Source organism: Homo sapiens, chromosome 1 (genome assembly GCF_000001405.40).
Source record: "Homo sapiens chromosome 1, GRCh38.p14 Primary Assembly".
NCBI classification, from domain to species: Eukaryota; Metazoa; Chordata; class Mammalia; order Primates; family Hominidae; genus Homo; species Homo sapiens.
The window spans coordinates 19,289,804-19,301,865 of NC_000001.11; the positions used below are offsets into that span (position 1 = coordinate 19,289,804).

Consider the following 12,062-nt stretch of genomic DNA (forward strand, 5'->3'; position numbering starts at 1 on the left):
CAGACAAAGTAGATTGCAAAACAAAGAATACTGGCCCACACAGTGGGTGACATACTAGCCCACACCTGTAATGTTAGCACTTTGGGAGCCTGAGAAGGGAGGATTGCTTAAGTCCAGGAGTTTGAGACTAGCCTGGGCAACACAGGGAGATCTTATCGCTACAACAAAATTTTAAAAATTATCAAATTGTGGTAGCATGCACCTGTGGTCCCAGTTACTTGGGAGGCAGAGGTGGGAGAATCATCTACGCCTGGGAGGTCGAAGCTGCAGATTGAGACCCTGTCTCAAAACAGCAACAACAACAACAACTACCAAAGACAAAGAGGGACATACCATAATGACAAAGAGGTCAATTAATAAAGAAGATATAATTCTAAATATATATGCACCTAAGCATAGATCATCAAAATACATGAAAAACAATAATGGAACTAAAGAACAAGTAGATAAATACAAAATTATAATTGGAGATTTCAACACACCATTCTCAATAGTTGTAGAACAGTTATCAGTCATAATTTACGGAAACTCCGTAAAGGTATACAAGACTCAATGCTATGAACCAATTCCACATAAACAACATGAATAGAATATCCAACAACAGCAGGATATGCATTCTTTTCAAGTGCCCATCCACCAAGATATACCATATTTGGAGGCATAAAACAAGTCTTAATAAATGTAAAAGAGGCTGGGAGCGGTGGTTCACGCCTGTAATCCCAGCACTTTGGGAGGCCAAGGCATGTGGATTAACTGAGGTCAGGAGTTTGAGACCAGCCTGGCCAACACAGTGAAACCCCGTCTCCACTAAAAATACAAAAATTAGCTAGGCGTGGTGGCGTGCCCCTGTAATCTCAGCTACTCAGGAGGCTGAGGCAGGAGAATCACTTAAACCTGGTTGGTGGAGAGTGCAGTAAGCCGAGATCAGGCCATTGCACTCTAGCTTGGGCAACAGAGTGAGACTCCATATTAAAAATAAATAAATAAATAAATAAATAAATTTGAAAGGATTCCAATCATACAAAGTACATCTCTGAACACGATGGAATTAAACTAGAAAATAATAACACAGGCTGGGTGCGGTGGCTCACACCTTTAATCCCAGCACTTTGGGAGGCCAAGGTGGGCAGATCACTTGAGGTCAGAAGTTCAAGACCAGCCTGTCCAATATGGTGAAACCCCATCTCTACTAAAAATACAAAAAAATTAGCCGAGCATTGTGGTGTGTGCCTGTAATCCCAGCTACTCAGGAGGCTGAGGCAGGAGAATTGCTTAAACCTGGGAGGCGGAGGTTGCAGTGAGCCAAGATCGCACCACTGCACTCCAGCCTGGGTGACAGAGAAAGACTCTACCTCAAAAAAAAAAAAAAAAGAAAGAAAGAAAAAAAGAAAAGAAAAGAAAAGAATAACAGAATTTAGAGCCTGAGAGGGAACTGAAAATAAGTAAATAAGTTAACAAATAGAAGAAAAAGGAAAAATAGAAAATAATAATGGAATGATATCTGGAAAATCCCCACATATTTAGAAATTAAATAACCCATGGGTCAAATATGTAATCACAAGGAAAATTAGATCATATTTTGAACTGAATGAAAGTAAAAACAGGACATATCAAATTTTCTGAGATGCAGCCACAGTAGTGCTATGAGGGAAATTTATAGCACCACTTTGACATATTACAAAAGAAGAAATATTTCAGATCAATAATGTAAGCATTTACTTTTTTTTTTTTTTTTTTTTGAGACACAGTCTCACTCTGTCACACAGGCTGGAGAGCAGTGGTGCAATCTCAGCTCCCTGCAACCTCAGCCTCCTGGGTTCAATCAATTCTCATGTCCCAGTTTCCTGAGTAGTTGGAATTACAGGCATGCACCACCATGCCCGGCTAATTTTTGTATTTTTAGTAGAGAAGGGGTCTCACCATGTTTGCCAGGCTGGTCTTGAACTCCTGGCTTCAAGGGATCCTCTCGCCTCAGCCTCCCAAAGTGCTGGGATTACAGGTGTGAGCCACTGCACCGGCCGAGGCTTGTACTTTAAGAAACCACAAAAGGAAGAGTCAAGTAAAACCAAAATTAGCAGAAGAAAGGAAATAATAAAAATAATAGCCAAAATAGGCTGATGTGGGAGAATCGTTTGAACCCGGGAGGCAGAAGCTGCAGTGAGCCAAGATCACTCCTCTGCACGCCAGCCTGGGAAACAGAGCAAGACTCCATCTCAAAGAAAAAAAAAAGCCAAAATAAATGAAATATAAAACAAAAACATCAGCAAAAGTCAGTAAAACCAGAAGTAGTTCTATAAACACATCGCTAAAGTTGATAAACCTCTGGCTAGACTGATCAGGAATAAAAGAGAGAATACACAGATTAACCACACCAGAAAGAGCAGAAGAGACACCACTACAAATTATACAAATTTATCATTTTAAGTGATATTTAAATGTCATTAAATGACATTAAATGACATTTTAAATGACAATAGGGTAGATTATTAAAACCTTTATGTGAATACATTTAGTAAGTTAGATGAAATGGACAATTTCCTTGAAAAACACAAACTACCAAAGTTTATGTTTGGAAAATGAGTAAGGAATGTGTTTGGAAAATGAGTAAGGAAAAATGAGACAGCCGGGCGCAGTGGCTCATGCCTGTAATCCCAGCACTTTGGGAGGCCGAGGCAGGCAGATCACTTGAGGTCAGGAATTGGAGACCAGCCTGGTCAACATGCTGAGACCCCATCTCCACTAAAAATCCAAAAATTAGCTGGGTGTGGTGGTGTGTGCCTATAATCAGTTACTTGGAAGGCTGAGGCAAGGAGAAACGTTTGAACCCAGGAGGCAGAGGTTCCAGTGAGCCAAGATCATACCACTGCACTCCAGCCTGGGCGACAGAGCCAGGCCCCGTCTAAAAAAATAAAAAAAACAACAACCTGAATTTTTTTTTTTTCTTAAGACAGGGTCTTGCTTTGTCTTCTGAGTTCAATGGTGCAATCATAGCTCACTGCAGCCTCAACGTCCTGGGCTCAAGCGATCCTTCTGCCCAAGCCTCCCAAGTAGCTGGGACTACAGGTGCACCTCAATACACCTGGCTAATTTTGTAAAAATATTTTTGTAGAGACAGGGTCTCGCTATATTGCTCAGGCTGGTTTCAAACTCCTGGGTTCAAGTATTCTTCCTGCCTCACCCTCCCAAAGTGCTGGAATTACAAGTGTGAGCCATCTCGTCTAGCCCAGATATTGAATTCTTGATAAAAAAAAATATTTCCACAAAGAAAACTCCAGGTCTACATGGCTTCATTGGACACTTAAGGAAGAAACAACATCAATTCTGGACAAATGTTTCTAGTATATAGAAGAGGAGAGGTCACTTACCAACTCATCTTGAAGCTAGCATTACCAGATACCAAATGACACAAAGATGTTACAAGAAAAGAAACTACACACATATCCTTCATGGATCTAGACACAAAATCCTCTTTATTTTTTTCAAAAATCCTTTTAAAATTTAGCAAAATGAATACAGTAGTAAATACAAACAATAATGCACCATGACCAAGTTAGTTTCATCCCAGGAATACAAGGTTGGCTTAATATTTTAAAATCAATCAATATAATTTACTATACTAACAGGCTATAAGACAAAACCCATATCACCATCTCAATAGATGCAGAAAAAGCATTTGACAAAATTTAATACCTATTCATGAAAGGAAAATAAACCTCTCAGCCAATTAGGAATAGAAGGGAATTCCTGAAACTGATAAAGGGCATCCATAGGCCAGGAGCAGTAGCTCATGCCTATAATCCCAGACTTTGGGAGGACAAGATGGGCGGATTGCTTGAGCCTAGGAGTTCAAGACCAGTGTGGGCAACATAGCAAGACCCTTCTCTACAAAAAATAAAATAATTTTTAAAGGGCATACACAAAACACCTACAGCTAATATACTTAATGATGAAATCAGAAAGTTTTGCCCTAAGATTGGGAACCAATGATGTCCACTCTTATTCAACATTGTATTGAAGATACCAGTTATTTCAATATATTTCTTTGTTGTTGTTGTTTGTTTTTTTTTGGGGGGGGGGGTGGGGGACAGGGTCTTGCTCTGTCACCCAGGCTGTAGTGCAGTGGCATGGTCTTGGCTCACTGCAGCCTTGACCTCCTCCTGAGCTCAAGAGATCCTCCTACTTCAGCCTCTGGAGTAGCTGGGACTACAGGTGCACACCACCACAGCTGGATAATTTTCTGAGTGCCAGTAGTGGCAACAACTCAATCACTAATATTCAGTGTTGATGGAGCAAGCTGGGTGTGGTGGCACGTGCCTGTAGTCCCAGCTACTCAGGAGGCTGAGGCAGGAGAATCACTTGAACCAGGGAGGCAGAGGCTGCAGTGAGTTGAGATTGCACCACTGCATTCCAGCCTGGACAACAGAGCGAGACTCTGTCTCAAAAAAAATAAATAAATAAAAATAAAAATAAAAATTTTTACCCTTTTGACAGCATGTCAGGCTTCTGGGTTCTGTTCCCCGAGCTCAACCCTAAGCCAAGCATTTTAAGGTTTGAGGAAATTAACTTCTCCCAGTTTGGAGGAACATTATAGAAGAAGAGATAGGAGCCATTTTAAATCATGAATGAAGGAAGGAAAAATACCATAGAAAAGTCTGGGGGTTTGGGTGGTAGAATTGGAGAAGCTGACAATGTGAAAGGGAGGGAGGAAGGGCCAGGGCATCTGGAAGTTTCATTTGAGGGGTTCCTGGGAGTTTGTTTCTCTAGTTTTGGGGAATCATTCCCTTTGGGCCTGTCTGATATGACTGCTGAAAGAGCTGAGTCCATTGTGCAATGCTTGCAAAGGTCTAGTAAGAAGGCCATGCTCTTGTGCAAAAGAAAATGAGCTGTTTTTTCTTCCAAATCTCAGAGTCAAAGGAGTCCCAGTGCTTCAGAACGCACTCCAGAGGAGGGGAAGGGGAAGACAGTGAGGGCGCCACCCCTACTGTTTTCCCTCCTTGGTTCCTGGGTCCCAGCATCTTGTTAAACATGCCTCCCATGGTTGCAGGTGTGACCCCCAGCCATGGAACCAGAGGAACTAAGTGATTGGGGTTAGTCATGCTTACCCATGTGACTCTAGTCCTGCACTTATGATTTCCTTTTGACTTCCAAGACTTGTGTGACCTGTGTGGCTCCCTGAAAAATGGATCTTGGGAGAGACTATGTAACAGTTGCATTTAGGCAACTGTTGTATTTCCCTCCATAATGGAGGAAGTGTGCTGGTTTGAGCTCTATATCCTGCTATTATGACTCGTGCTAAAGTACCCTTAGAGAATGGTTCCAGTTAACTTCCGGACTTAAATTACCCTTACTATTTAAGTACTATTTTAATTACAAGCAGAATAGGTGCCTTAAAAAAAACATAGGAACCAAATGGCTATTTTCCTGCTGATGGGACAGTATTGAGACTAAAATTTGGTTTTGGAGGACATTTTCCTCCTTATTGTTGAAGACAGAGTTTTCCCATTTATGGAAGTAGCATAAAGCCTGGTGTCCAGCAGAGGGGTGCAAAAAGGGAGGAGAATTGGGAAGCCAGAGTGTTTTGGCAAAGGGCTGACAATGTGCCTCATGGAGAGGATTCCTATGCCACTGGGTAGGGCCGTTGACCTTTAAATGCCATGTGCTCTCCAGACCAAGGGCAGAGAGAGACCTCACTATGGGGAGAGGAGGGGAAGACCCACTGTTCCTAGAAAATCACAAAAATGGCATTGCCTTGAGCTCTACCTCAGTTACTACGGTATTTCCTGATCTTGCCTAACAGGATTACTTCCTTGAACTGTAAAAATTCCCACTGCTTCAGAATGTTCTCCCCAGCAAGCCTGTCCCCCAAGTCTTGTAAGGCTGCCAGCCACACTAATCATTTTTAAATAGCTGAAGGGGGCCCAGTATTTGATTTGATTTTAAAATGGAGGCCAAGAACCTTGAAATGAAAGGACATGGTTGAGGTCCACTCCTGTCCTCACTGTTCTGATGATGATACCTTGATCCCACCTGGGGCCCCAAAATGAAGCAGTGTCGTTCATCTGGGGTAAGACCCAAGGATCATTGCCTCATGCCAAGGAATGAAGCAGTGTCGTTCATCTGGGGTAATACCCAAGGTTCACTGCGTCATGCCAAGGAAGTCAAGGACACGAACACATGTGAAGTGAGGTTAAGAGCAGAGGTTTAATAGGCAAAAGAAAAAGAGAATAGCTCTCTCTCCTGCAGAGAGAGGGGCACCTGAGTGGGTCTTCCAGCCTGCAGCAGCATGCACAAGGACAGGCATGAGGAGGCAGTGTCTGATTTACATAGGGCTCAAAGATTGGTTGAAACAGGTGCGATGTTTACATAGTACAGGAAGAAGCTCCCCGCCCCACCCTAATCTATTTTGCAAATGGATTTTTTTTTTTTTTTTTTTTTTTTTTTTTTTGAGATGGAGGTTCACTCCTATTTCCCAGGCTGGAGTGCAGTGGTGTGATCTCGGCTCACTGCAACCTCCACCTCCCAAGTTCAACAGATTCTCCTGCCTCAGCCTCCTGAGTAGCTGGGATTACAGACGCCTGCCACTACACCCAGCTAATTTTTGTATTTTTAGTAGAGACACCATTTCAACGTGTTGGCCAGGCTGGTCTTGAACTTCTGACCTCAGGTGATCTGCCCGCCTCAGCCTCCCAAAGTGTTGGGATTATAGGCGTGTGCCACCGCACCTGGCCACAAATGGCTTCTCTACCTGGCTGGCGCCACGTTGCCTGCTCCTTACTGTACATGTGGTTGATAAAGAAAAAGGGGAGATGGAGCCACCATGTTGAACATGCCTAGCCTCCAGGGGGCCTTTTCCTATTGCCAGAGCTGCTGGCATTCACCCCTGCAAGCTTCCAGCTTGCTGATCTATGTCTGCAGCTTGATTTTACAGGCTGCACTTCGTTAGGAAAGAAATGATTCGGGGGCTGCTTTTCATTAAAAGGAAAACCTTACCAAGGACTTCCTTACCCTCACTATCTGCCTAAATAAGTTCTTAGATCACAGGGAGTGTCCAGTGTGCCCACTGGCCTCCAGATACCCAAGCCTGCAGATCACACACATCTCCACCTACTTCCAGTGCATCATTGCACTCACAAGGTTCAGAAGTTCCAGGACAGCCAGCCATGGAGCCTGTGGACAGGGAGTGCATCGTGAAGGTTGCCAAGGCAGTGGAGGCCCAGGTTATGGCAGCCCAGGAAATGAGCTGGGAGGAAAGCATTCAGGAACTGATGAGCATGGAGAAAGAAAGCACTTTGTAGGAACAGATGAGGAAGACGTGGGGGATGATGTACAGAAGTTACAAGTAAGCGGAGCTGATATTAAACAGGATTTTGCTACACAGAGAAAAAGGCTAGAATGTATATGAATGCTTTTTTTTTTTTTTTTCCGAGACAGAGTCTTGTTCTGTTGCCCAGAGCTGGGGTGCAATGGCGCGATCTCGGCTCACTGCAACCTCCGCCTCCCGGGTTCAAGCAGTTCTCCTGCCTCAGCCTCCTGACTAGCTGGGATTACAGGCGCTGCCACCATGCTCGGCTAATTTTTTTATTTTTAGTAGAGACGGGGTTTCACCATGTTGGCCAGGCTGGTCTCGAACTCCTGACCTCGTGATCCACCCGTCTCGGCCTCCCAAAGTGCTGGGATTACAGGAGTATATGAATGCTTTTATCCACACCACTAAGAAGAGAATTGAACATGTTTTGAAAACACAAGAGGAAAGGCAGAAACTTCATTACAAATATTCTAAGCAGTTTCTGACTTTGTTTCAAGATTGGAACACGAACAGTGAAGGCTGAGGAACCAGAGGAACAAAAACTAGCTACAATGTTTCGAGAGCAACAAAAGAGTTGTCTATAAGCTAGAATGGTTCAGAGACAGAGACACTGAAACAAATTAAACTGAAATCAGCAATTCCTACGGAGTTTGGAGGACCTAGAAGAGAATCAGAGTTCATCTTACTGATGAACAAAGTGACCTTAGAAAAGAAATGGCCAGGTTGCAAACAAAACTTATGAAGGAAACTCTGCAGCAAGACTTGGCACTTATTCATTTGTCTCTTCTACCTGTGTTACTCTTGTGACTGAAGAAAGAACTTGAACCAATGTATAATGGTTAATATTGAGCATCAACATGATAGGATTGAAGGATGCAAATTACTGTTCCTGGTGTGTCTGTGAGGGTGTTGCCAAAGGAGATTAACATTTGAGTCAGTGGACTGGGACAGGCAGATCCACCCTCAATCTGGGTGGGCACCATCTAATCACCTGCCAGCCCAGCTAGAATAGAGCAGGCAAGAGAAGATGGAAGAGCAGACTTGCTGAGTCTTCCAGCTTTCATTTTTCTCCTGTGCTGGATGCTTCCTGCCCTTGAACATGAAACTCCAAGTTCTTCAGCTTTTGGACTCTTGGACTTACACCATTGGTTTGTCGGGGGCTCTCAGGCCTTTGGCCACAGACTGAAGGCTGAACTGTTGGCTTCCCTACTTTTGAGGTTTTGGGACTCAGGCTGATCCACCACTGGCTTCCTTGCTCCTCAACTTGCGGCCGGCCTATCATGGGACTTGACCTTGTGAACGTGTGAGTCAATTATCCTTAATAAACTCCCCCCCCTTTGTTTGTTTGTTTGTTTGTTGAAACAGAGTCTCACTCTGTTGCCCAGGCTGGAGTGCAGTGGCACAATCTCGGCTCACCGCAACCTCCACCCCCTGGGTTCAAGTGATACTGTCTCAGACTCCTGCATAGCTGGGATTACAGGCACCTGCCAACACGCCCAGCTAATCTTTGTATTTTTTTAGTAGGATGGGGTTTCACCATGTTGGTCAGGCTGGTCTCGAACTGCTGACCTCAGATAATCCACCTGTCTCGGCCTCCCAAAGTGCTGGGATTACAGGCATAAGCCGCCACACCTGGCCAATCAACTCCCTTTCTTATGTACATATATCCTGTTAGTTCTGTCCCTCTAGAGAACTCTAACATGCTATGTTATATGACATAAGCATGACATTAACTACACTAAACCATATGACAGTGTTTTTAAAATTCTTGTATAAAGCAGTATCTCATTAGTTTGTGTGTTAAATGCAAGACCTTGCTTCTTTAATCTGTTGAATGAACCCCAAACAGTTATATCAGTAACAGCAATTGCACAGTTATATACACAGTCAATTAAGTTTTAGCACTAACGATAATTTAATTTTAGGTGTGGCCTCTGTGGATCTGTATCAGTCCCAAAATTTAGAAAGCACAGGCATGGAAGGGTACATTTTTCTCACCTAAGGAAAAACAGTAAGATAAAACAAAACGTTAAAATAAAAAATCGGCCAGGCATGGTGGCTCACGCCTGTAATCCCAGCACTTTGGGAGGCCGAGGCAGGCGGATCACGAGGTCAGGAGATTGAGACCATCCTGGCTAACACAGTGAAACCCCATCTCTACTAAAAATACAAAAAAATTAGCCGGGTGTGGTGGTGGGTGCCTGTAGTCCCAGCTACTCGGGAGGCTGAGGCAGGAGAATGGTGTGAACCTGGGAGGCGGAGCTTGCAGTGAGCCGAGATCATGCCACTACACTCCAGCCTGGGCAACAAAGTGAGACTCTGTCTCAAAAAAATAATAATAAATAAAAAATAAATAAAATAAAATAAAAAATCGATGCCCCCTCCTCCTTCAGTCTTTCATACAGCACAGAACAGCTTCCTTAGTTTGAGGATGATTAAATATATGAGATGCTCTCCAGATCCAGCTCTGCTTCTTTAGATTTTTTTGTTCCTTCTCACTTACTTATTATTTTTTTTTGAGACGGAGTCTCGCTCTGTCACCCAGGCTGGAGTGCAGTGGCGCAATCTCAGCTCACTGCAACCTTGGCCTCCTGGGTTCAAGCAATTCTTCCACCTCAGCCTCCTGAGTAGCTGGGACTACAGGCACCTGTTACCTCGCCCGGCTAATTTTTGTATTTTTAGTAGAGACGGGGTTTCACCATATTGGCCAGGCTGGTCTTGAACTCCTGACCTCGTGATCCACCTGCCTCGGCCTCCCAAAGTGCTGGGATTCCAGGCGTGACCCACTGCGCCTGGCCTCACTTATTTATTTTTTAATTAACAAATAAAAATTGTATATATATTTAAGGTGTACAACATGGTGTCTTCAAGAATCTCTTTAGATATGAAATTGCTGAATTCAAGAGACCATCAACTATGAGATATAGTATCCGGAAGATTCTAACGGATGGGATGTGACATAGCAGAAAATGCATCTCTGATGGGGATAGTCAAGACACAGTCTCCTGGCAGGTCCCGGGGCTCACCTTCTCCACTCAGGACTGTTGCTCCAAGTGTTACAGTTTATTTTCCAAAGATAACCACTCCATTCTCTCACGTGCTCTTTGCACAGGTATCTTTGACTCTCCTCCCAGGACACAAGAGTGATGTTATGGACTTCTGAGGCTGGGACATAAAAGGCCACATGGCTTCTGCCTAGTTTGCCTGGGATGTGCTCCCTTGGAAGCCACATGCAGAGGTCACGTGTGTGCCGGTTGATGACAGCAGCTGATATTCCAGCTGGCCCTCAGCAGCAACTGCCACATGCTTGAGTGAATGTCTTCAGGCAACCCTAGCCTCCAGCTGCTAGATCACCTCTGAGACACTGAGGAACAGATGAGGCTTCCCTGCTGAGCCCTGCTCTAACAGATTTCTGAGCTAATTGATTGTTTTATTACATATTATTGAGGCACTATATACAACTGACCCACTTAAAGTGTATAATTTAATGGTGTTTAGTGTATTCTGAATTGTACAACCACCACAGTCAATTTCAGAGCATTTTTATCACCTCCCCAAAAGAAACTCTGTACTCAGTAGCAGTGAATCTCCATTTCCTCCCAAACTCCCTCTCAGTCCTAGGCAACCACTCATCTACTTTCTGTGTCTAATAGATTTGCTTATTCCAGATACTTCATATAAATGGAATCATACAATATGAGGCCTTTTGTGACTGGCTTCTTTCACTTAACATGTTTTTAAGGTTCATCCACATTGTAGATGTTTCATACTTAATTCCTTTTTTTTTTTGAAAAATGTTCCATTGTACATACAGATATTTTGTTTATCCATTCACCTATTAAGATTGACATTTGGGCAGTTTCCACTTTCTGGCTATTATGAATAATGCTGCTATAACATTCACGTAATTTTTAATAAGGACATATATTTCTTTTTTTCTTTTTTTTGAGACAGAGTCTCACTCTGTCACCCAGGCTGGAGTGCTGCGGCAAGATTTCGGCTCACAGCAACCTCCGCCTCCCAGGTTCAAGCGCTTCTCCTGCCTCAGCCTCCCAAGTAGTTGGGATTACAGGTGTGTGCCACCACGCCTGGCTAATTTTTGTATTTTTAGTAGAGATGGAGTTTCACCATGTTGGCCAGGCTGGTCTTGAACTCCTGACCTCAGGTGATCTGCCCATCTCGGCCTCCCAAAGTGCTAGGATTACAGACGTGAGACACTGCGCCCAGCCTCATTTCTTCTAGGTATACCTAGGGAGTGAAATTTCTGGGTCATATAAATGCTTAATCTTTTGAAAAACTGCCAGAATGTTTTCCAAAATGGTTGCACCGTTTTACAGTCTCAATGGCGGTGTCCTAAGTCTCCCATTTCTCCAAACCCTCAACACTTGTTATTTTCTGTATTTTATTGACTCTGATGATCCTAGTGCTTAGCAGATTTGAAGGGGTTTTGATTTGCTTTTCCCTGATAAGTACTGATTTTGAGCAGCTTTCCATGTGGTTACTGACCACCTGTATGCCCTCTGGAAAAAGGTCTATTCCAATAATTTGCCCATTGTTTAATTGGGATTTCTTTCTTTTCTTTTTTTTTTTTCTTTTTTGAGGTAGGGTCTTGCTCTGTTGCCCAGGCTGGAGTGCAATGGTCTGATTTTGGCTCACTGCAGCCTCCACCTCCTGGGCCCAAGAGATCCTCCCACCTCTGCCTCTCGATTAGCTGGGACCACAGGTGCCCGCCACCATACCCGACTAATTATTTTGG

At 43.6% G+C, this 12,062-nt stretch overlaps 2 long non-coding RNA genes across 2 annotated transcripts in view; one reads left to right on the top strand and one right to left on the bottom strand.

The window, feature by feature from the left end:
* LOC124903867 (uncharacterized) overlaps positions 1–12,062 on the top strand; it is a 17,289-nt gene that overhangs the window by 1,744 nt on the left and 3,483 nt on the right. The gene's annotated exons all lie outside the window — the stretch shown is intronic.
* LOC100506730 (uncharacterized) lies at positions 3,444–5,933 on the bottom strand. Its single transcript, NR_037847.1, has one exon. It is a non-coding gene; the product is annotated as an uncharacterized LOC100506730 (long non-coding RNA).